At 35.1% G+C, this 26,917-nt stretch overlaps 1 protein-coding gene across 65 annotated transcripts in view; it reads left to right on the top strand.

The window, feature by feature from the left end:
• The window catches only part of QTMAN (queuosine-tRNA mannosyltransferase), a 395,002-nt gene that overhangs the window by 135,080 nt on the left and 233,005 nt on the right, over positions 1–26,917 (top strand). For 2 of the 65 annotated variants that reach the window (NM_001284238.3, XM_024453145.2), the window contains 2 exons: positions 19,030–19,155; positions 20,750–20,855. The exons of 60 other annotated variants lie outside the window; for them this stretch is intronic. In NM_001284238.3, the coding sequence (NP_001271167.1) occupies positions 20,773–20,855 (83 nt within the window). In that variant the 5' untranslated portion in view covers positions 19,030–19,155; positions 20,750–20,772. Of the gene's footprint in view, positions 1–15,334; positions 15,641–19,029; positions 20,856–26,917 lie in introns of those variants that run through there. 3 more of the 65 variants (XM_047445845.1, NM_001354351.2, XM_011511856.4) reach the window with 3 other exon arrangements.

The following is a 26,917-nucleotide window of genomic DNA, read 5'->3' as shown; positions in this document are numbered from 1 at the left end:
CTCCTGAAGTTCAGGAATTACAGGCATGAGCCACTGTGTGTGACCCATTGCTGGGATTTAAATAAGGGGAAATGATGCTTTTTCAGACAAAAACACCAACGAGTGCTATAATAGAACATGAGAGTGAGGCAAGGAAAACTGGATAGGATGATTATTACAGCAGTATTGGATGGAGACTATTGATGAGTATAGGAGATGATCATTGGATTCTAAATATCTAATAGAAAAATAGTGAGATTCTAAATGAGAACATTAATAGTAGGAATGGAAGGCAGGAAAGGAACTAGCAATATGGATGAAAGTTGTGTTATTTGCTTTTTACTAGTTAAGAAATTTGTCTGGAACGGAACTGAAATTTAACTTTGTCCTATCTATGTGAAAAGGATTTGGGATATAAATTAATTTAGTCAAAATTACAGAGGTCACAATTAAACTACTTTAGTGGTTATAATTATTTTAAAAACTAGATAATGCTAATAATAAATTTTTCATATTTACTCATTACATTGGCTCAGTAAGTTTGTTTTGGCAGCATTTTAAGTTACTCCATGCACGTAAATGTTCTAAAATTTTTCTTTAAAAATCTAATGTAATACTGCTTTCTTCCACTTAAATACAATTACATATATACATATACACACATACATATATCTACATATATATATATATACACACACACACACACACACACACAAATATACAGTCATGTGCCACATAACATTTTGGTCAACGATAGATTGCATGTGCAATGGTGGTCCCATAAGATTATAATTGCCTGTTTTTACTACAGAATTTACCTTTTCTGTGCTTAGATACACAAATACCATTGTGTTATAGTTGCCTACGATATTAAATACAGTAACATGCTGTACAGATTTGTAACCTAGGAGCAATAGGCTATGCAAATATAGCATGGGGGTGTAGTAGGCTATACTGTCTAGATTTGGGTAAGTACACTCTGTGATGCTCACACAATAAGAAAATTGCCTAATGGCACCTTTCTCAGAAGGTATCATCATCAAGCAATGTATGACTGTATATATAAATACACACAATCAATAAGTGATCCATTATTTGGCATTAACTTGTCAAACTTATCACTATCCCCCCTGCCAAAAAGTAAAGTATTAAGTGCATCTGTAGAGTTCATGTATTATGCTAGATCTCAGAGTGAAAATGAATGAGTAAAGTTTCTGCTCGTCACTATACTTGATATATAGTTCAGAAAAGCCAGTTTCCTCCTCAGTGATCTGGAATAGCAGGCATACATTTGATGAACACTCATTACGTGCTAGGCACAAATGATATAAAGGTGAATAAGGCAATATGCTTTAGGAAGTAAATGTCTTCTTTTGAATATAGTTTCGAGGTTTTTTTGTTTGTTGACTTTGGTACCATTTGAACAATGTTCACTTGAGTCAGCATTCTGAAAGGGTCATTTACTAATATGTTTCTAAGAAAATTTCCCATACTTGGTAACCTATCTTTCACTATAGTAGGGATCTAAAATGTAGGGCATGGGGGGATTTTAGCTCATAGTTTCTCTGTATATCCAGTATTGATACAGATATTTATTTGTATTCAGACTGTTTTGGTGGTTCCAAGATTTTTATAAAATTAAAGTAGATAAGAATGTGAATTAGTTTTTGTCATTATTTTTTCCTTTATCGTAAATTTAAATACAATGAGAAATATTTTCATAAAAGCCAATATAATTCAAAGCATATATTATATATATATTTCGTGTGTGTGTGTGTGTGTGTGTGTGTGTGTGTGGCTATGTGTGCATGCACGTGCACATGTGACAATTGTATTATGGAGTTTCTCATTCAAATGTAATGATTCTTAGCTTTCATTTTGTATCATTGCTTAGTATTAGAAAAAGCCTCAGGATTTTCAAAGGGAATTTTTAATTTTTTAAAACAGAAAAAATGAACTCACTTTTAATGAAAAGTATTTTTCTATACTATTTTGTAAGAGGATCACTGCTAGGAAACCAAGCAATAGCTCAATGCCATTACTGCAAAGATTTAAGAATCCTTGACTTACTATTTTATTATAATTGATGGGAATGAAGAGATGATAACTTTTAAGTTTATAAAGAGTGATTTTAGGATTATGCAGTTATTTTAGTAGCAATATTATTATTTTTCCAAGTCTTCAAAGATATTTAATGACATTCATATTTTATTTGCAGTCTTTTTTGAAAGAGAAGCAGAGGTTAAGAATTGAGGTCTTATTTGCTCTGAAATTTGAATCCTGTTTAATATGTCAGTAGACTTTACGAAAGTAACCATTTCTTTGATTTTGGTATTTAGAACTAGGAGTAGAAAAAGGAAAATGCACATACGTACACATACACATAAGACATAGAAACAGTGGCAGTTTTAGAATTGAACTGCCTGAGAAACCTTCAGGCTTTTGGAAACATGAACTTAATATTTGTCTTCTTTCAATCAGTTTTATTTTAGATAAAATGCTGGCAGATGGTAGTGATCTACTTGAACACAGTTGAGTTTTCTTTATTTTTTCCATGGAAAAAAGCTCCCAGAAACTTTTGTTCTTTAATATGTTCAGCATGCATATGTTTTACATCTATTAATGAGTATTAAAAATGCAGGTCCTAATTAGATGTCTAAATCTGAGAGGAGTTGTGGTGAGTACCAGCCTCTTAGAATTATTAAAAAATACAGTTTTGATGAACAGGAGTTTCTTTTTTGCTGTGACATCTTTCAGCCTTCTCCTGTTCCAGAAACGAAGGAATTTGCATTATCAATGCTTCTCAGCTATTGTGTTCTAGGGTTTCTACTAGATATTGTGAGTTTTGATGATAAACCTTCAGATGTTGATGATGTCAAAACTTGGGAGAATTCAGGATATTTATGTTCTATTATCACCTGTTTTACAGGAAAAAAGGTAATACCTTTTTTTACTTGTTTAAATATTTAGGCTTTAGATGGGGCATGAATAGTTACAAACTTTTGATATGCCTTATATTTTAGAAAGCTGGTAGAAAAATCTGAAATATTATGTTGCAACCTGGTTTTGTTTGGTACTTTAGTTTTACTTTTTAAAATGTGGAGGGGTAGTGGTGGGGAAATCCCTTCACTCCAGATTTATCTATGAGTCACCTGAAGTCTTTCTTCTAATAGAGTATAATGAAATGGTGCCATCTGAATCAGTATTTCCATATTTGCAATTTTGGATATTCAGTTTGTACTCATCAACATTTATCTACATTTCTGTTTTATTTTTAAATTTGCCATATAATCCTCTTTTAGCTAATAAGCACATCTAACCAAGAATGCCTTCCGTTTTTCATAGACATTGATTGTTAATTGTTCTCTCACTTATTTTGTCTTACCGACTAATGTATTTGTTCTTATTTTGTCTTACCGACTGATGTATTTGTTCACAACTCCAAACCACAAATTAGGCACATATGTACTGACTAATCCCAACTTACAAATATTAGCCCACGCAGTGTGAATTTCTTCAATGTTTGGGCATTCCTAGGAACATATGATGGTTTTTGATGTTCTCTCTTGTACCTATTAGGCATTTTATTACATAGGAGCCCAGAGGGACGAGGAAAGGGCCTTGGACTAGAAGTCAGGGGAGCTAAATGCAAGCCCAATTCAGCCACTCACCTTTAAAAGTACAAATCACTGTCATTCTGTATCTTCATCTGCTAAATGGTGAAAATAAAAATAATACTCTTCCCTTTTATCTTCAAGATTTGTGAGGATCAAATGAGATAATAATCTTCCAGGAGTATTTTGTAAACTGGATTAAATAATGTTTTAAAGTTGGAAATGTTTTAGTTAGAATTTGTACTGTTCCCCTAAGTGACTGATTTGCTCTGAATTTTTTTAAAAAAATTATTTAATCTCTAGTCTCTGTTTATTTTAAAATGTGAGTAGGAGAGATGACATAGAATTAATACTTTTTAAAAAACGTAGTGCTTAAAGAGTGTTTGGCCCGAAACCATAATGTACTTCTTTTATTCCTCAGATATAGGTGGTTTGATAGGCACAGTGATAGAGCGGGAAGAAATAATAGAGGGAATATTATTTGCAGATTTTTATTCTCTCTTTTAACTATTTCAGTTCTGGTATCAATTTTGAATTGTAGCTAAATATCAGCAATCAAATATTTGGGGGTGCTGGGCACAGTAGCTCATGTCTCTAATAACAGTGTTTTGGGAGGCTGAGGCAGAAGGATTGCTTGAGGCCAGGAGTTTGAGACCTTTCTTGGCAACATAGCAAGACTCTGTTGTTACAAAAAAATTTAAAAAAATTATTAGCCAGGTGTTGTGGTGTGCACCTGTAGTTCCAGTTACTTGGGAGGCTGTGGTGGGACGATCACTTGAGCCCAGGAATTTGAGGTTATAATGAGCTACGATCCTGTCATTGCACTCCAGCCTAGGTGACAGAGCGAGACCTTCTCTCTTTACACACACACATACACACACACACACACACGTAATATATATTATGTGTATATATAACATAATATATACATAACATATATATGCATTATATATACATAATATATATTATATATAACATAATATATAATGTAATGTATATATAATAGGTGTAGTAATGGATTAAAATAGGGGTCATTTTATGTCATTTTATGTTTTTGTAATTAGAAAAATAAATTAAGAATAATTCATTTTCTTCAGTTAACATTTATCTAATGCCTCCTATTTTATAAGACACTTTGCTACTAGGTACTTGATTCAGAAATGTCTGTAAGAATTATCAGTATGAAAAAGATAATATGGAAAGTGGTTGAATTGCTCTCTTATCTAGTAAACACTGAAGAATTCTTAAAGAAATAAAAGGTGTATAGTTGTCTCATATCTGAAGGTTTGATGATGTCTGTAGCCTTTTTAAGGAAAAGCAATATTTCATACCTGTGGTGGAATGAGACTGACTTTCTAATACAAAGTAGTTATTTCACATTTATACATCATCTCTTTGCTTAAGCCCCAAGGAAAAGAATTATGTGAATGTCTGCACATGATGATATTTCTCACATTAATTTTAATAAAAGAATAACAGCTGAACATCATAGCTGCCAAAAAAAATTAGATAAATGAAAATAAATGTTCTAATGTACATTCTTCAAATTGATACCGGCTTTAGTAAACATAATAAACGTTTCTTGTTCACAAGAGAAATTGTGAATCGAATAGTAATTGGTCATTTCAGGTCAGCTGTGTCACTGGTCATCCATTAGTGCAAATTATCTAGCTTGAACATATCTTTGAAACTTACAAATATGCTGAAAGCATTGTCTTAGTAGGTAAAACTTACAAAGAGATCTTATGTAAATTAGTTTTGCATTTTTTTCCTATAGAAATAAATTTTCCTTTTTATTTCTTTCAAAAGTCTTGGAACACATTTTTACTTTTGCTACTTGAGACTGAAGGTAAATATGCTGCAGGAGAGATGGAGAAATATATTTGACCAACTTGTTGCAGCAGGTGATACCTAACCTGCTCATTGGACCTCCCTACTTTTTTGACAGTCTATTTAACTCTTTCTTATAACTGGTTAAAGAGTTAAACTAGGCCAGGTGCATTGGCTTATGTTTGTAATCCCAGTACTTTGGGAGGCTGAGGCAGGTGGATCACTGGAGGTCAGGAGTTCGAAACCAGCCTGGCCAACATGACAAAACCCTGTCTCTACTAAAAATATAAAAATTAGCCAGGCATGGTGTTAGGTTCCTGTTATCCCAGCTACTTGGGAGGCTGAGGCAGGAGAATCACTTGAACCTGAGAGGCAGAGGTTGCAATGAGCTGAGATTGCACCACTGTACTTCAGTCTGGGCAACAGAGGGAGACTCACTCAAAAAGAAAAAAAAAAAGGAGTTAAGATAAACACCTCTAACTTTTCACAACCCTATCTCCTCCAAAATATTTCTAAATCTTTTCATTCATTTCTTTCACCCTTTACTTCAAGTATTTTACCAGAGAAGCTCACTAGCAAACAGTTTTGAATAGCTGTTAATAATGTTTTTACGTTTGTCATTGCAAAACAGTATTCTATTATTTTTGTACAATATTAGTTGTGGTAGAGGAGTGGTCAGTCAGTAGAGGAAAAGAGAAAGTTATAAAGTATTAGATAATTAACTTATGGATTCTTGAGCAATTGAAATTCAAAAGCAAATATACAAAGTATACTTTAGGGTTATTTTGGTATTTTATATTTAATACTGCCCTTTTCTTGAACTTTTATAAGCAAAGATCATCATAGATTTGCCTCAGAAATATTTTATTATATCTAAGTTCCGTGAGGGCAGAGACTTTGTCTTTCTTACCACCATTCTCAGGGTCTAATTCTTAGTGTTCAGTAAATATTTGTTGGATGAATGAATAAATAATGATTATACTAAGAAATATCAATCAAAATTTATAATGTATTCTTTTGCTGTATCCAGTATTCTAATTGTGTTTATATCCAGATAAGACCTAAATAGGAAAACAATGATAGGCGATTTTCTAATACTCCATTATTCAGCAATTGCTTTGCAAGATTCTACTTTCTATTTTCCTTTTCTTTCTTCCTTGTTCTGCACATTGCACAACCCTGCCCGCATATAGTAATGGCTTAATACTTTTTAAAATGCTTGCACAAATAGTATGCTTTATTTTAGTAGAAATACTTTTTTCTTGTTGTATAATTAGTTACCTGTTCAGTACAGAGAATAAGGTGGCTATTGGTGGTTTTCACTTTTCTCGTTTGGATTCTTTTTCAAGCAGCAAAAGATAGATATAATGAATTTAAAGCACATTAGGTAGAATTTAAAGTGACAAATAGGATCTACAAGACAGAGTGCTGAGACTTCTCTTTTTCCATGACACAGTGGCAATATGCATAAAACTGTTACCATTTGTTAGTTCATTGGCAGAGAAGCTCTGGTTTGAGGAATATAAATGCAGCAGGAAAAATGGTTTCATTAGACACGAACTTTCTATGCAGTGTTAAAACTCAGTGCCTTTCTGGAAATGTAAGGATTTTGATGTGAAAAGAGGACAGTGGAGGAACATAGTGGTTTTATAATGGGGGTCTAGCTGTTGACTTGCCAATGATGCAAATTTACATGGTCTGCTTTGTAGGAACAGTGTATCACAGTTTCTTTTCAGGTTGTATTGCTTGACCTTTGTAGCGCTTTTGAAGGTTTTCCACCATCCCTTAGAATCATACCCTCCTAAGTCTTCCTTTGTAACTTAGATTTTTACTATACTCCTTCTACATCATTAAAAATTTTGCTTTTATCATTGAATATTTCTTGGAAATGATATCGATTTTACCGAATTGTTATTTAGGCATCAGTGATTATTAGAGACTTATTGTATAATCCCAGCTAAGATAAAGTCCCCTTTTTTGTTGTTGTTTGATATGTTATAAAAGGCACTTGGTTTCCTTTGCTTCAGCCATCTCCCAGCAATTTTCATGAGTAAAAGCATTTTAGATATCACCTTGATTCAGTTATCAAAAGATTTCAGTGACAGCCAGTTATTTTTCTAATAAATAAATTCTTATTCACATAGTTAAAGCATGACTACCTGGTCCTTTCCTCAGGATAGTCCTATCCATTGTAAGTATATTTTTTTATTTTCTGGTTAATATAACTTGCTTATTGGAGGTACATCAAGTTTCCTGTTGTGATTTGAACGAGTGAGCAAGGACATTATGGGAAACTTTAACCATATACAAAATAGAGGGAACAGATAATGAACCTTTTTACCTTTTAACAAGTGTAAATAAATAGCCAATCTTGATTTATCAGAACTCTGCCTAGTTGTTTTCCACCCCAGATTAGATTGAAGCAAATTCTAGACATTCCATTCATGGCTCTATATATTATATTGAATACCAATAAAAGATAAAATTTCTTTAAAAATAAAACATAATTGTAATATCATTACCACCCTGATAAAACCCCAAGTAATTCCTTAATGTTATGAAGTATATCCAATGTTAAAATACATTTACTATAAAATACTAAATGAATAATAAGACCCTATTATGCAGTGAAGAAAAGAGAAGGTGGCCAGGCATGGTGGCTCACACCTGTAATCCCAGCACTTTGGGAGGCTGAGTTGGGTGGATCACCTGAGGTCAGGAGTTCATGACCAGCATGGCCAACATGGTGAAACCCCATCTCTACTAAAAATACAAAAAAATTAGCCAGACCTGGTGGCGAGTGCCTGTAATCCCAGCTACTTGGGAGGCTGAGGCGGGAGAATTGCTTGAACCCGGGAGGCGGAGGTTGCAGGGAGCCGAGATCGCACCGCTGGACTCCAGCAGCCTCGGTGACAGAGTGAAACTCTGTCTCAGAGAAAAAAAAAAGAAAAAGAAAAGAGAAGGCAGTCTCCCAGGGAACAGAACATACTTATAATGTCCTGTAGGCAACGGTTGCTCAATAAAAGCGACCAATTGCCCAGAGCTGAAGTATGGTGCTGCTTATTTGAGAAATTATTAATCAGTGTTCTTTTAGTGGCTCAATATCTTTAATGCTCTGTAGTCACTTAGTTGTTATTCTTCCATCTTACAGATTGCACTGTATTGAGTGAATGGTGGCCACTGAATGGCACAGAGCAAACCCTGTGTACTGCCTTAGGGGATAGCCCTGCCCTGCAGGAGGGCCTTGGGCATCAGTATTTATATTTAAATACTCTGCATAAGTGGGGCACAGTGGTGCACACTTGTAATCCCAGTTACTTGGGAGGCTCAGACTAGGGGATTGCTTGAGCTCAGGAGTCTAGACCAGCCTGGGCAACATATCCAGACCTTGTCTCAAAATGCATATATGTATGCATACACACATATATGTACCCTGCAGGTCTTTCTAATGTGCATCCAAGGTTGAGAATATTGTCTAAAGTGTACAGTCTGGGCCTAGTACAAATAATAGTATTATCTGTTTCATTTTACCTTCACCAGTTGTAGATTGTAAGTATAAATATAACTAATAATTCTGTTTGTTTTGTTTTACTTGCCGGCTATTTCCTTTCCTCTTGTTTTGCTACTTTGAAGGGATAATTATAGTAGTATGAAACATTTTGTCCACATAGAAGCTTATTGAAGAGGTTAAATGTTCTTGCTAATTAAAGAAAACACTAATTGGACAGATTGTTGTTTTATATTAGTAATTTTCATTATTTTTTAATCAGAGCTAAAAATATTTTTAAAAGAATGCTATTTTATACTTATTTTTCTCATTATTTGAGGGATTTAAATATTCAGATGAAATTTATTTTTGAGATAGTTGATCATGCTTTGGTCTCTAGGTGCGACAGAGACAAGATATAATTATTTTTTTGAAGTGTCAGAAAGTTTTATAATTCTCAATCCCTATCCATGCCTTACCTATCACTAAAATGTCCATCACCCATCCATCCATCCATCCTTCCATCAGTCCATCCATCCATCCATCCATCCATCCATCCATCCATCCATCCGATTGCAAAAGGACTCAGCATAATGTCATTAATTTTCTTTGCACTCTTGCATGGCTGATTAGTTTGTTAAATCTCACTTTTTAGGAAAAGAAACTGATATGTTCAAAAGTCAGTTGGTTTCTCTATTTTCAAAGGGGAAATTAGTGGTAGATGGTTAAGATGTAGTCTGTGTTTTATCCCGTTCAAAGGCACTACTTTTCAATGTTGTGAAAGCTTAAATTAAAAAAAAAAATTGGTGCTACTTGTCTTTTAGTTTCACTAAGAGAACATATTTCTTGGAGTTCTTCTAATAATTTTTTTATTTGCCTGGCTATCTCTTCTTGCACTGATTTGACCATCTGTATTAGTTTCCTAAGGGTGCTGTAACACCAGAATTTATTCTCTCACAGTTCTGAGGCCAGAAGTCCAATATCAGGGCCAGCAGGGCCACACTCCCTCTGAGGCTCTAGGGATGAATCCTTCCTTGCCTCTTTCTGGCTTCTTGTGGCTCCTCCAAATCCTTGACATTCTTTTTGGCTTGTAAGCTGCATCACTCCAGTCTCTACCTCTGTTGTCACATGACCTTCCTCTGTGTGTGTGTGTCCTTTTTTATAAGGAAAAACATCATTGGATTTAGGGCCCACACTAATCTAGCATGACCTCATCTAAATTTGATTAAATCAGCACAGACATTTTGAATGGGGTCACATTCACAGGTACTATGGGTTAGGACTTGCATGTATCTTTTTGGGGGATACATTTCAACCCACTACATCATCATCATCCCAGAATTCAGTGTAATATGCCTGTCATTTTCTGTGCCTTCAGTTTTTGTTGTTACCGTTAAATAAAGGACTCTGTCTGGTATCATCATGTATAAATAATAAGCTGTAAAATAGTCATTAATTCTGAAACCAGAAGACGCTGTAAGATATTTTATCTTCAGTTTGTCAATAAGGCAATTGTTAGGGTTTGAGTTTGTACCCATCAAAACTCATGTTGAAATTAGATCCCCAATGTGGTAGCGTGGAAAGTGGGCCTCAGTGGGAGGTGTTTAGGTCATGGGGCTGGATGGCTCATGAGTAGCTTGGTGCCATATTGGAGTAAGTGAGTTCTGGCTCTCGCAAGACTGGATTAGTTCCTGTGGAAATGAATTAGTTTTGGAAAGAGCAGGTTGTTAAAAGGCCAGGATGCTTCTTCGGTTTTATTTCTTCACTCGTGTCTGATTCTTCTTTGACCTCAGCCATGTTATGTCACCAGAAGCCAGGGCCATGCCCTTATATTTTCTAGCTTGCAGAACCATGAGCTAAATAAACTTCTGTTCTTTAAAAATTATTCAGTCTCAGGTATTCTGTTACAGCAACAAAAAACAGACAAGACAACCACAAAGTGGTATCAGTGACTTGACAATAATCACGTAGATGATTGTCCACAGAGTAGTATGAATAAGGTGTTATTTGTCTGCTATTATATAATATTTTCTGTGATGTCACTTTGTTTTTTCTTATTAAGATTAAGCATCTTAAGATATTAATACCTGACACTAAGATGACATGACAAATATTAACACAGTTATGGCTTTAGAGTTATTCTAATCAAACTGCTGTCATTTTGCAGCTGAGGAAAGGGAGGTCTTGAGAGGTTAAGTGAGTTACTGAAAAGGAGAGTTAGGTGATGACATTTCTGGGTGGATTTTGAGTGTTTGGTATTGAATTCTATAACATGAACCTAATGTGGCAAATTTGATATTACCTAGAGGACACTGAAGAAAATCAATAACAGGTTTGAAAATAAATACTGAAAGAATTTGAAATAATTTAAACACAAAAGTAAAGGATGACTAAATTAATAATATTTTTCTCTTACCACTGAAGGCAAATAGAAACAGGCTCAATCATCAAGCAGATTCTGCTTTGTTTTTCAGCTAGAAAGTGTGACAGTGGGACTGTTGAGAATTGTCATGGAGAATTTGAAGAGGAATGAACTCTTATCCAAAACAAAACGAAAATAAAACCCACATACATCTATGTATTAGTTTTGTCTTACCTGGAAATTTCAAATTTTAAAAAACCCATTAGTTTGCATATTTATTTCCAGTCTACATTATTACTTCCTCCTCAGAATGCAAATCTAATTTACAGGGAGGGACTTCCACCCTCTACAACATAATCTCTGAAATCTTTGAACTTGTGGCTCTTCAGTGCCTGATTTTTATATCTGTTTCTCTTATAAAACAGGGCATGATGTAACTAATGGCTTTCAAATCTCTGACCTTCAGATTGTAGCATAATATTCCTACCTCAGACTTCCTATAGATGGATTAAGGTGTGTACCTCTAATAGGATCCTTGATATCTTTCAAGAGATGAAGGCAGAAGGAGAAACTCAGTATTCCTAGTAGATATATTGACCCATACTCTTCTGGGCATTGTCCTGGCTTCAGTTACCTGATGGACTGTCTAGCTGTAAATGAATACCATGTCTCAACTGATCTGAATCATCCTGTTGGGTAGCTTCTGCACTGACTTTTCTTCATTTGCCAGTTGCTCTGTTATTATACAGGCAAACATACATTGCCTGCCTGCCATTTGTGTACGACTTTATAATCTTTTCTACAAACTATCTTTCCTATGTCTATAGCTTTCCTTTTTGACAAATTTAAGCAATTTCTGCTCATTGATTTTTGTTTTATTTTGTTTAAAAATAATCTAACTTCTTTTCTCCTACAGACTTTTACAAGCTATCTAAAAACAAAACAGAAAACAGCTAACTCCTGCTTGCTAGTGGCTGTACATCCAATTGCCTTCCTTGGCTTGGAAAGGAAGACAGTTGTCACTCAGAAAGTCCTGTTGCATCTCGTCAGAAATTCTTAACCAGCCCTTGTTTAAAATTTCAAGGCAGTAGCTCTCGAGACTTCAAAGAAGATTATGGTTACTAGTACTCTTTCTGGTTATCAAACATGGTAATCTTTGCCTATATTTAGGATAAATTAAGGAAGAAGTAGACGTTGATGAATTAATATGGGCCAATTCAAAATAACAAGTGCATCAGCTTTCCAGCTGGTGCGTCCAATGGAACGTTAGAGAACCTCTGCATTACTGAAATCTACTTCTTAGAGGGTAGCATTGAGTTGCTGTTAAAATCATAACTAACTAAGAGTTATGCAGACCCACAGTAGATGACTGTGAAACATAGGAGAACAGATCCTTGTATGGCCTAATGTAGTTACCCTCAGTGTTGCCATTTAGTAGCTATAAGGTTTTGGAGAAATTGCTTAACTTTTCTGAGCTTCAGTTTTCTTGTCTTTTAAAATGGGACTAATAATACCTACCTTACAGTATTATTGTGAAGGTGAAGTTAATCCAAATGAGATAATATATTTTTGGAGCCTGACATAGTGGCTGGCACAATGTGAGTGCCTCATAAATAGTGCAATATTTTTTCTGTTTGTATAGCACTGTGTAATTTTCTCACATACCGTATCATTTGATCTTTCAAATTAAGAAGTGGTCAGGAAAGATGGTAAGAGTTTGGTAATAGCACCTTTTTTACAGTTGAAAAAGCTAAGTTTCAGAGTGGTAAGTCCCGTATCATATAGCTATTTACGGTTAGGTTTTCTGATTCCTCATCTAGAGCATTAGACTTTTCCCTCCTTTATTTAAACTCTTATTTTTAAAATTTACTTATTTAAGCTTCTAACTATATAGGTATATGGAGTTATACCTATATAGGGAGCCAGTGCTTTAATAGAATTCCTGATGCCCTCATCCCTGTATGCAAATGAAATAACAGATACTTAAAGGGCTTTGGAAAATAATTTTAAGTGCTAAGGAAACATAAAATTGAATGATTTTTTTGGTTAATTTATTATATTTAGTCCCTTCTGTAATTGGTAGTAAATTGGAAGCATCTAAAAAAAATCATTTCCAAAAAGGAAAAGAAATACTTCCTATAGCCATTTTTCCACTCTCATTACTGTATTAACCGTGTTCAAATATTCTTTTAATAGAAAATTCCATATTGTTTCTAAGCCTTTTGTTGAAGAATTCCTAAGCATTATAGCTCCTTATTTTTTTGTTGGAGGAACTAATTTTATTAACGTGGCAATGAAACTGACACTTAAGGAATTATGAGCAAATATTGTAGCATTTGCTAGATTATCTTTCTTTTAAGCTCTCTAAAAGAAAATATTTCTCATAATTGTTAACACTTGTAGAAAATCTTGTGAAAAAAATAGATGGAAAGTATTCCACTCTTCTGCCATACCTGGCTATTAAAAAAAGAAGGATTGGCCCACTTATATTCAGTATAGTGCATGTTTGACTTGCTCTACCTCCATGTACTTCCCTCAGTGTAAAGAACTTAGGCAGGTGTTATTAATAAAAAAAAATAATAAAAAACTCCTATTTTAAATAAGGATGCTATTCTCCCAGCTTTGAAGCTCACACATACTCTCTAACTTATCCCAGCTTTTGCTCATCTGGTCTTTAAATGTCTCCTTTCATGTGGTCAGCCCACGAGCCGTGCGTATTGCCGCTCAATCACGCCACTGTACGTAGCCATCATGAGGGTGGTTTGCATGATTTGCATTTCCTGTACTGTTTGAGCTTCAATGAGCTCTAAGCGCCACGTATGAGGAAACCACTGCCAAGTAATGCAATGATTTTAGTCAAACCAGATGAGTGTGTGCTAGAGTCAGGCTACCAAGTTGGTTGGGGGTGGGGAGGTGTTGTTAGGATATCCTGTTAAAAAAGGATTCTTCAAGATGTCCGCACATGCAGGATGTGAATTCCTTAACAAATCTGGCCATGTAATGTAAGAAAGTTACATTTGGGAAGATAAGACTAAAAGGCTAGATGAATAACCGTGTATATGTTGCTCTTAAAAAATTCAGCCCTATAGATTTTAGTATGATGCTTTAATGTGATTATTTATTGTGACAATAATAGATTTTGATGACATTAAATTTCTAGCCATATAGAATGAAATTTAGTCAGAATTAAATTAAATACATTGATTACATGTCCCCTTGTCCTGTAAAAGAAAGCTTGTATTTTATTAAAAAATGATTGATGAAAACTGTTGGACAAGTATTACAGAAATGGCATAGTAGTGGGCCAATGAATAGCTACTAAAGTGGAGAAGGAAAAAAAACATGTACCAGATACTAGTCTTCATGAAAAACATAGACAGATGGGGAGACAGACCTATATGATGCCACAAATAGATGAATATCTTGTAAGGATTTCAAACAAATGTTGAAAGATCCAGTGAAATTTTAAAAGTTGGTTTAAAAGTATATCTTATGCTTATAAACATAGTGTATTTATTCTGCTCACCTGAAACCCAACCTCTAAATTGTTAATAAAATATTGTATCAATATTAACCAAAAAGAGTGTAGGCTGAAACTATATCTAAACTCAGAAATATTAAAATGAATCTCACTAATAAGAGGGACTAATTTTTCTTAGGCTTCTTAGACTCAGATATGATATTATAATGCTTACAAGAAAACCTTCTATAGAAATCTTTTAAAGTATTGCTTAATAATTGTTTCAAATATTTCCTGTTCTTATGTATGGACAATTGAAGAATATTCTCTTTTCTCATATTTTATATATATATATAATATATATATATATAAAATATATATATAATATATATATATTATATATAAAATATATATATAATATATATATATTATATATATAATATATATATTATATATATAATATATATATATAATGTACCTGATAACTTGCTGTGGATGCTACTCAATAGTCTTTAGTACTAGTTCACCTGATTACAGCCTACTAACTAATCAGTGCCTATCAGGCATGCCCTGCAGCACTTTTAAGGTATTCCTTTTTTTTTTTTTTTTTTTTTGAGACGGAGTCTCACTGTGTTGTCCAGCCTGGAGTGCAATGGTGCGATCTTGGCTCACTGCAAACTCCGCCTCCCTGGTTCAAGTGATTCTCCTGCCTCAGCCTCCCAAGTAGGTGGGATTACAGATGTGCACCGCCATGCCTGACTAATTTCTTTTGTATTTTTAGTAGAGACAGAGTTTCACCATGTTGGCCAGGCTGGTCTTGTACTCTTGACCTCAGATGATCCACACACTTCGGCCTCCCAAAGTGCTGGGATTACAGGCTTGAGCCACAATGCCCGTCCACTTCTAAGGTATTCTAAAGAGGAAGCTTTTAAGTCACACATACCTACTGAGGAAATTGTTCTATAATTATCTATTTTAAGAAAAGGTAGACAATTTATATGGATTAAAAAACTATGTATTATTATATCTACACTAAAATGGTTTTGCATGTTGAATGTACCATGTAGTCAATTTAAGTCTGAGAATATTTTTCATTGTGCTGTGGACTGAAATGTTAAAGGCCAGTTTTTACTTTTTTTTTATTCTCTTTTATTTCCTAGTTTCCACTTTTAACATTTATTGAATTTTAATGTATGACTTAACCCTTACATAATGCTAAGTTTGGCACTTTTGGGTTGTTGCTAGCTTATCTGCCATGGGAGATCTTGGGCCACAGAGCGCTTTTTTCAGAGTCTGAATTTGAAGGAGGGCATATTTGACCCACAGAGCTCTTCATGTGTTTAATTGGATATGTTCACTAATGCTATTAGAATGTTGCATTTTAAATAATGTAATGTCATAACTGTCACATAAGTTATTTTTTATTTATTGATTGATTTTTATTTTTGAGATAGGGTGTCACTCTGTTGCCCAGGCTAGAGTGCAGTGGCATGATCTAAGCTCACTGCGGCCTCCATCTCCCGGGCTCAACTGATCCTCCTTCCTCAGCCTCCCAAGAAGCTGACACTACAGGCATGCACCACCACACCCAGCTCATTTTTGTATTTTTAGCGGAGATGAAGTTTCACCATGTTGCCCAGGTTCTCGAACTCCTGGGCTCAAAGTGATTCACACACCTCAGTATTTCAAAGTGCTGAGATTACAGGCATGAGACACCATGCCTGGCCAAGTTATTAAAATTATTATTTCTTACCAGTTAAATTAGTTTTAAGAACATTGAGCTTATTAGTGATCTTAGTTTTATGTAAATACATTTGAATAATGAATAATATTGTACCAACTTTTCTTTGAACATTTTTCTTGGTTACTTAGTTCCTAAAAAACTAGTATTTGAATCTAAAACTAAATTGTATTTTTAGATGCTTAATCCCGTGGGGGAAAGGAACACATTTTGCATTAGTTGTCTTTAATTTATTAAATAATTCTGTAATGCACTGTGTGCATAGATCATGAAAACCACTGGCACATATTTTTCTGACTTCACAACATAAGCTGGACTCCTGTTGCAGTCCCAGCAAATGTGTTTATAAAGATTCCAGCAGTAATAGTCTTGTGACTAAATAAGAAACAGAAGCTAAAGCTTAGAGCCAAACAGATACCTATCTGTTTCCTTGAGTTTAATCTGATTAAAACATGGGTCTCAAAAACATTAAATACAATGTCATGTCAGAGAGGTGGTATATGATAAATATAGCTCATGACAGGAAATGGTTATTAAATCAGTATTACTAGTGAATCTGTTATGGAAATTTCCCTTTAATTTAGTTTAAGTTCCCCCATTTGTCACCTCCAGTACATCACTATAGTTTTCTGTTTTAATGATAAATATGTTATTTTCTGTTGAATGAAAGACAATTTTTCTACTTTATCATACATTTGCTATCACTGATCAAACACTTCATACATGAACTACCTCCTCACTTTAACTAGGAAAACCAATATACGGACTAAAAGAGAATCCATACTAGTCATTGGCCAATGGGACCTAAATACAACAAACTTAAAGGCAGCAGCCACCTGGCCCTTATCAAAGGTACAAGCAGTTTTTTAAAAATGTGAAACACATCAACTTGATCAAACTTAAAATTATTGGATTTAAAATTGTAATTATTTGACACAAAAATTTTGAGAACTTCCTATTTAGCTTCATCAAAAATACCATCTTTACTGTTTGAGGAAATAGGGAAAAAGTGTTAGTAAGTATAATACACATATATTGGTAGCTAAACTCTGAATACTCTAATTTTTTTTAACAGTTCAGAAAGCATTTTTTAAAGGAGAAATATTTTTACAAAGCAAGAAGATTATTTGGCTGACTTACATTAATGAAACATTTTGGCACATGTGAAAGATTTCATCGAGCTATTACAACCACTCCCAAAAAATCTTGGTTTCCATTTAAAATGTCACCAATGTGGAAAAAATACCATCAATCAAATTGCGTATCTTTTAACTGAAGAGGAAAAAAAAAGTAAAGAAAAAATGAAACAAACAGTGAGCGTTCAGTGCATTTTTGGCTTCCCTTAAGGAATTCTGACTTAGGTATGGTCATTTATCTGTGGCCTTAAGATTACCTGTTTTTTCTGTTTGTTCCACTGTATGTTTTCATCTTCATTGGAATACATCTACTGAGTAATGTTCCTAACTTCATGCTCCACTAGCCAAACACTGGGAATGTTACAGTTCTTGTGAATGAGAACAGTAAAAGAAATTATTTTCCCAAAGAAACATAGGGATACACCTTTACAACAACAAACTACAAAATTCCATATGACATTATTCTTCTTGCTTTAAAATTATTCTTAAGAACTTGGTAGAAACAAAGACCTTCTTCACAGGAAACTTAAGTACTAAGTCCATCTTAGGAGTTTTATCCAGGAAACCTGTATGCAAGTTGCAGAAACAGCACTGAGACCCTTATTTATTAAAATTTAGCCCTTTCAATAAATGTGGAAAACTAAGTAGCTGTGACCTAACTATACTTCTTGAGTTTTGTAGGCAACTCTTGTCTAGTGGATCTTAGGCCTTTCTGTTTGCATCAGGACTACTTCACCTTTGAGGTGAGCCCGGTATCATAGTCCCAACTTATGAAGACGTTCAGAACCAGTTTCCTCTGTGCTCCTAAATGCACAGAGTGAAGGATGGTTCATGTTTCTACTATTGGCTACTTTTAGGAACATTGGGCTTAATTGTATCATGCACTCGGTGTTGAAAAATATATCTAAATCACATTAGGAAATCAAGGTTGAACATGAAAATATCTGGAGGGTTGGCATTCAATGTTTTAGCCTGCATAGAAAGTGGCAGTGAATATTTTCAAAACAATTGAGCAAGCAAAGCATAATTATTTTCAATTAACATGTGGAAATATACTGAGAGATTAAGTTATTTGTGCAAAGTTTGGCCACTTTTCAGTGTTAGGCAGTAGAAAAACCCAGGTTTATGCTCCTTCTACTCTACTGTCAGTAAAGGAATATCCCATTTCATCTGCAGATGAGAGAATTGTTTCACTCAGAAATTACACAAGTACTCTTGCTGTCTAAGTGACCTCAATCAAGGAGGTTTTTATTTTATCTCAGGGACTCAATTCTAGTTGAGGGTAATCTGAAAGACTTGACTATATGTAAGTATTCCTATTTTTTAACTCACATACTCAAAATGCTAGCCGTAATAATTTAAATAATCAAAGAAGTTTTATGGGAAAGTAACGAGTTTCTCTAACTCTCGTTTTTACCAGGCAATCAGAAATTACAAATTAGGAAACAGGAGAGATGAGAATGGAATGTTAACCTTTTGGTATGAAGCAGGTCAACATTGAAAATGCAAGAAGCCTGGATCCAGCTTCCTGAAAAGAAGCTCCTTGGTGACTCTTTTTCTTCCGGCATCAGTTGATTATTTCTAGTATCCAACCCTTTTTACTTTCTCTAAATCTCTCTGAGGAACATCCTGGAGTTTCTTTTCTGGCTTTCGTTGTAACTAGTTCCTGGCCTACCTGAGGGGATGAATAGCATTATGGTATAGGGTAGGTGCTGCAGACCATATGGAGACCAGCAGGATACAAGAGTGTGAGATGCCTAGGGAAAGCCTCCCTTTGTCAAGTTAAAGGAGAGAGGTTTCCATTTGGAGGCAGCTGAAATAGAGAAAGAAGTATTGAGCACAAATTTACAAATCAAAATAACAGTCTTCCAGGGATAGGATAGAGCATGGACCAACATGATACAGTGTCAACCTGCATTTTCATGGGTGAAGGATGGATGGACTATAGTAATCAAAACAGAAACATAGCATCCTCTGGAAATAGTGACCACAGAGACAGAGATCTTTGTATTAGTAATGACAGGTAACGTTTATAAAGTGCCTCACTGATTGCTTATGTGTGTGTCATCTCATTTGATCCTGATAGCAACCCAAAATGGTGGATAAGCGTGAAGAATCTCCTTTTACGGATCAGGTTCAGAAAAATGATTTGACCAAGTTACCCACTAGGAAATTTTAGAGTCAAAACTTGAACCCTAGGCTTCTAATATAGGAAATGGCTTTGTTTCTCAAACAGGATGCATTCCTCACTTCTTTCCTCCTCGCTGTCATGAAAATATATCCAGGAACTGTACGAGCACTGGATAAACGGTGGTGAACAACATAGCCCTGTTCCCTACCTTTGTGGAACTTAGTCTGCACTTCTTAGGACTGTGCTGATTAGTATGGGGTTATTGGGCACACTTGAAATGGGGCTAGTCTGAACTAGATGTATTATAATTGTAAAATATATCCTAAATTTAAAAGATTTCAAATAAAGAATGTAAAACATTATTTTTATATTATGTTGATAATGTTAAAATTCTAATCTTACCTGTTTCAGTTTTATTTTTTAATGGCTACTAGAAAATTTCACTGGCTACCAGAAAATTGAAAATTGCATATATTGTTCACATTTGTGGCTCACTCATTTGCATTGGATAGCAAGCTATGACATATATGGAACTGATTTTCTAGGGCACATTAATCCTTTTAGTACTTCTTTGGTTATATTTTTTACATTGAAGCATTTGGATAATTTGAAATTTGCCTGGGTGCATGCCTGCTTAGATCCCAGTTTGTTTTTCCTCCAGATGTCTACCAAGTTGACTCAACAACTCAGTTGAGTTGTTCATCTCTGATTTGGGAGGCCACCTTTACCATATGCCAACTCCTCGTATGCATTTGTATCTATTTCTAGACTTTGCTGTCGTATAGGCATGTTAATATTTGAACTAGTATTATACTTTATATTTTTGAGATTTTAAAATATTCTTTAATGTCTAGTAGGGTTGGTCTTCATCTCCAATTGACTACCCCCAAACCCCACAGAGTTTACTTGGCTATTGTTTTTCATAGTCTTCGGCTATGAAAATTAGAATCAGTTTGTCTAGTTTAAAATAAACAAAAACAATGTTTTTTTTTTTTTTATTGGGATCAAGATAAAGAGGATTGATGTCTTCACATGTTGACTCTTCATGTCTGGATATGGTTTGGATTTATGCCTTGCCCAAATCTCATGCAGAATTATAATCACCAATGTTGCAGGTGAGGCCTGGTGGGAGGTGATTGGATCATGGAGGTGGATTTCCCCTTTGGTGCTGTCCTTGTGATAGAATTCTTATGAAATCTGGCTGTTTTAAAGTGTCTGGCACCTCCCACCACTCTCTCTCTTTGTCCTGCTCTGACCATGTAAGACATACCTGCTTCCCCTTTACCGTCTGCGGTGATTGTAAGTTTCCTGAGGCCTCCCCAGCCATGCTTCCTGTATAGCCTGTGGAACTGTGAGCCAATTAAACCACTTTTCTTTATAAATTACCCAGTCTTGGGTATTTCTTTATAGCAATGTGAGAACAGACTAGTACAGTGTCCAAGGAGATGGTACAGCTTTCCATTTAGTCAAGTCATCTTTGTGATTCCTTCAGTAGTAGTTTAACATTTTCTTCATACAGGCCTTGTCCATTTTAAAAATTTATTTATGTAATCTTTCTTTAAATGCTGACATACATACATAAATATATATAACATATTAATTGTGTGCACTATCAGCCTACCAAATTCTCTAATTGTAATAAATGATTTTTTTGGATGATGGTGTTGAGCTTTCTAATATTATCTAAAAATACTGATAATTTTACATATTTCTTTCCAGTTTTTATACCTTTGGTTTTTTTCACTTGCCTAATTTTGTTGTCTAGTAATTGCAGTACAATGCTGAATTATAGTGGTGATAGACTTTTTGTCTTGTAGCTGACTTTAATATTTCTTCCCAAGTATGATACTGGCTTTTGAGTTGAACTGTACATATTTTATTAGAGTAAAAAAAGTTCATCTTCATATTTTAAGAATAAAAATTTTGTTCACTTAAAAAATCATGAGTAGCTGTTACATTTGGTTAAATGCCTTCTCATGATCATGTGATTGTTTTTCTCTTCAGAGCTATTAAAATGATGAAATTTATAAATTGTTTTATTAATAATGAACCGTAATTGTATTTTTGAGAAAAGGATAACTTGTTTATGATGTCTTACTCTGTTTTCATTTCCTGCTAGATTCTGTTTGATAATATTTATTTAAGATTTTGGCATCTAATTATAAGTGAGATTATCTTGTTGTGTATTGGTCTTGTTATACTTACTTTATAACAATAAAATAATATTGAAGTTCTCATCACCCCATATTTCACTATACCAGTTTAAGTAGAAATGTACTTATCTAGGCCGAGCATGGTGGCTCACACCTGTAATCTCAGCACTTTCAGAGCTGAGGCAGGTGGATCACTTGAGGTCAGGAGTTCCAAGACCAGCCTGGCCAACCTGGTGAAACCACGTTTCTGCTAAAAATGCAAAAACTAGCCGAACATGGTGGTGGGCCTCTGTGATCCCAGCTACTTGGGAGGCTGAGGCAGGAGAATTGCTTGAACCCAGGAGGTGGAGGTTGCAGTGAGCCGAGATCACTGCCACTGCACTCCAGCATGGATGACAGAGCAAGTCTCTCTCTCTCTCTCTCTCTGTAAATATATATATATAGATAAATAGATACAGATAAATATCTCTCTATATATATCTTTATATAGAAAGGAAGGAAGGAAGGAGACTTATCTGCCCTTTAAACATTTGGTAGAATTCCTTTGTGATGCCATGTGAATTTAGTGCCTTATTTGGAGGGTAGGGATAGTGGTGGTGATGGTAGTTCCCTTTGTGGGCAGAAGCATTCTCTGTATCTGTTATGGAACTCTACTGTTTTAGATTCTCTACTTCCTCTGAGATAGGCATGTAAAAAAATTTTTTTTGGCAGACTTTTGTGTGTCTAAGTATAGTTCTTTTGATGTTAGGAAGGTTTACTTTTTCCCCCTATTGATTACTTCTATAGTTACAACCTAGGTTCTCTATTGCTTGAGGTAGTATCTATTAGTTCTATCTAATGAACAGAGTGGTAAGATTAATGTGTTCTCACTTTCTTGTTCTTTGTTCCTTTGCTGCCATCTTATTTTAATCAACATTATCTTTCATATATTTTTTTCTTACCTGTATTCTCTTTAAATATGAGTATACTTCTCTTCCTTGATTTGTTCAGTTTTAAATTGTATCCAAAGACTCCCACCTATATTATATGGTTAATGCCATAGGTAAGTCTACTCTGTCTCCAAAATTTATTTTACTTCCTGGTCCCCTACCCAGTTGGATTATATCTACATGGTCACAGCAAATACCTTTTATGTTGTCTTTTATTATCCTGATTCCCTCACTGTTTTTGGTTTTACTGCTGTGGTTGTATTAGTCCATTTTCATACTCCTATGAAGAAATACCTGAGACTGGGTAATTTATAAAGAAAAAGAGGTTTAATGGACTCACAGTTCCACATGGCTGGGGAGGCCACATAATCATGACGGAAGGTGAAGGAAGAGGAGTAAAGACACGCCTTACATGGCACCAGGCAAGAGAGTGTGTGTTAGGGAACTGCCCTTTATAAGACCATCAGATCTCATGAGACTTATTCACTGTCATGAGAATAGCATGGGAAAATCCTGCCCCAGTGATTTGGTTACCTCCCACTGGGTCCCTCCCACAACACGTGGGGATTATAGGAGCTACAATTGAAGATGAAATTTGGGTAGGGACACAGCCAAAGCATATCAGTGGTTAAATGCATTTGTTGGAAGCCTTCTGGTTCCAACCAATATGAAGTAACAGGAACTGAATTTACATTTTCATCTGAAACAGACAAAAAAAATGGACAAAATCTATGAAAATATGATTTTCGAGACACTGGACATTTAGCAATGAGGGACATCGATTCCTGACAGAAGGGAACCAAATGAGGGGGGAGGCTATGACATCCCCAGCTTAAATCCTTGAAATAGTTTCTAGATCTTGGTGCAAGGAGGAGGAATCCAGAGTGGTCTGGCAGACCTCTTGATTTGCGGAGATGGAGGTAAGCATCTGGGTACATAAAGGACAGAATACTGGAATGAAGAAAGCTGCTCCAAGAGAGAATTCTGGATGTCTGTAGAGGGTTTCACCTGATTATTCAGATTAACACATGCTGGAGAAAGAACCATCTAAGAAGGTTTGAAGGTATCTTTGTTAGTGTTGCTATTAAGGTATACCTGAGGCTGGGTAATTTCTGTATAAAAGGGTTTTATTTGGGTCATGGTTCTGAAGGCAGTATAAGAAGTATTCCCCCAACATCTGCTTCTGGTGAGGGACTTGGGTTCCTTCCACTCATGGTGAAAAGTGAAGTGAGCTGGACTATGGAGATCACATGTTGAGAGAAGAGCAAGAGAAGGAGGGGAGGAAGGTGACAGGCTCTTTCAACAGCCAGTTCTTGTGAGAACTAAGAGTGAAAACTCCTTCACTCCCATGCGAGTAGCTTGGTGCCATTCATGAAGGATTTGCCACACAATCCAAACACCTCTCACGAGAACCCCCATCCAACATTGGGGATCAGATATCAATGTGAGACTTAGTGGAGTCAAATAAACCATATCCAAATTGTAACAAAGGAAATCATGCCCATTGCTCACAAAAGGCCAGAAATAGTACCTGTTCCCACCAGCCTACTGGAGAAACATCATGATTATGTCAGGGCTGTGGTCTTAACTGAGGGTCAGTTGGGGAGGAATTTGCTGTCAAGCTCACACGGTTGTTAGTAGCATGTTGTTCTTTATGGGCTGTTGGACTAAAGGCTTTAGTTTCTGACTTGTTGTTGCCCAGAGGCCACCCTCATTTCTTGCCACGTGAACCTTTCCAATATGTCTGCCTACATCCTCAAAGCCAGCAAAGGGAGAGAATCTCCTTGCTTGGCAAGGTGATATAATCTTATGTAATGTAATCACATACATTTTGTCACCTTTTCTGTATTCTACAGTTTAGAAGCAAGGACCTATTCTTGTCCACACTCAAAGGGAGGGATTACACAGGGCATGAATACAAGGAGATGGAAGCATGGGGCTACCTTAGGGTTTCTTTTTTACACCAGAGATGAGGAGAGTATCTTAAAAACAGCTGGATTTTTTAAAATAAGAAGAAAACATTCACCAGAAGAACAGAGTTAAGCACAGCAACAGATTTCTCTTAGGAAACATTTTAAGGGGTAGTGAAGCAACACCTTCAAAACGCTGAAAGAAAAAAGCTATCCACCTAGAATTCTGTGTCTAGCAAAAATATTACTCAAAAACAAAAGTAAAATGGGGCTTTTGACTGAAAGAAGAAAAAAAACACAAGAAGATAGAGTTGAAAAGAAGCAAGAAGCTTCATTTGGCTTCATTTGGAGCATTAGGTTACCCCCCACCCCGCAACGCCACTACCTTCATTAATTCTGTGATTCTTCCTTGGTCATAATCTTAGGTGAGGCATATATCTTAGGTAAGGCATAATCTTAGGTGAGGCATCTCTACTAGTAGGTGGTGGCAATTAGAATCAAGTGAAAATATTTATCTTAGTATTTTTGAATAATTTTATCTACTGTGTTTTTCTTTATAAAATAACTTTCTAAAAGGGCAGTGAGCTTCCTAAGTTAAGCTTCTTAAGAAGTCTTTTTTTTTTTTTTTTTTTTTTTGACAGAGTCTTGTTCTGTCACCCAGGCTGGAGTGTAGTGGCACAATCTTGCCTCACTGCAACTTACGGCTCCCAGGTTAAAGCAATTCTCTTGCCTCAGCCATCTGAGTAGCTGGGATAATAGGTGTGTGCCACTATGCCCTGCTAATTTTTTTTGTATTTTTAGTAGATACAGGGTTTTGCCATGTTGGCCAGGCTGGTCTCAAACTCCTGGGCTCAAGTGATCTGCCCATCTCAGCCTCCCAAAGTGTTGAGATTATGGGTGTGAACTTCCGTGCCTGGCCCTTAAGAAATCTTTTATCCAGATAGTTATTTGAGGTTTGATATTTAATTGAGAGTAGTATGTTAAAATATTTAAGTCGTTTAAATCTTAATAATTGAAACAAATTATTTAAATTCAATTTAAGCAATTTAAATTATTTAAAATAATATTTAGCATGCTTTTAAAAAATCTAAATACTGCTATGTTTTAGCAACAAAAATATTTTTATTTTGCTATGGCGGATCTCAACTCCAATTTCCTTATCTGTAAGTGGAACAAAAAATATCTATACTTTTTATGTCATAAGATTTTTATAATATTTAATTTCATATTATGTCATGAAAATACTTTGAAAACTCTGAGAACACATAAAATGTGAAGCGTATTTTTTAGAATTACAGCATAATTTTCATTTTGTGTCAAAAATAACTATACTTCTGATTTTCAAAATGCCCACTACAGTGAAGATATTTTTTTGAAGTACATGTGTGTATTTTAGGAAATTCCAAGTTTTCTCTATTTGTAACCTGGTTATTATTCTAGTCTAATGGCTTCGTTCCATAAATTATTTGGGCTTCTATTTTATTTATTTTAGTCCTGGATCAGTTTGGTGCTACCTTTATCATGGTGAATTCCGTTATTGCTCTAGGGGTTTGAGAGTCTGTGGTTTCTACTCTTTTGGTGTATAATTTATAATTTACAGTTTGTTAAAAAATATTTCCTCCAAATATTGAAATGTCCAGTACTGTTTCATTGACTCTTATCAACCCACAGAAAATTATTGATTTACTTCTTAAAAAATCACTTCAGTTTTTCACATAATTAAAATATAAAGATTTTCATTTACAGTAATTTGAATTTGGGCAGCATTATTTTGACACCAGTAGGATCAAGGAAGTTAAAAAATTTTTGTAGATGCTAGAAAGCCTTTTAATACTGTCACGGAGGTGAAAGTTGTGAAGCATTAGAAACAAAAGACATATGGTCATTTCAGACCTCTTTACACAGTATATAATGAAAAGGTAAAAGGTCCAGAGTACAATTGGGATTTCGGAGCAGGAGAAGTCTGTCTTCATTGAAGCTGTGGTATCTGACATAGCTTTGAAGTATGGGTAGGATTGGGTTGGACATAGAGGAGCAGCCAGACGTGATAATAATAGCATATAGTTACATAGCATTTACTATTTGCCAGACATGGTTTTAAGCTCTCTTCATATATCAGCACATTTCATTATTATATTAATTAATAAGGTGATTATCTTCACTTTCAAGATGAAGAAACTGGGAT

Source organism: Homo sapiens, chromosome 2, assembly GCF_000001405.40.
Source record: "Homo sapiens chromosome 2, GRCh38.p14 Primary Assembly".
Taxonomy (NCBI): Eukaryota; Metazoa; Chordata; class Mammalia; order Primates; family Hominidae; genus Homo; species Homo sapiens.
The sequence above is the reverse complement of the archived record's forward strand: the minus strand, read 5'-3'. Positions and strand labels throughout refer to the sequence as shown.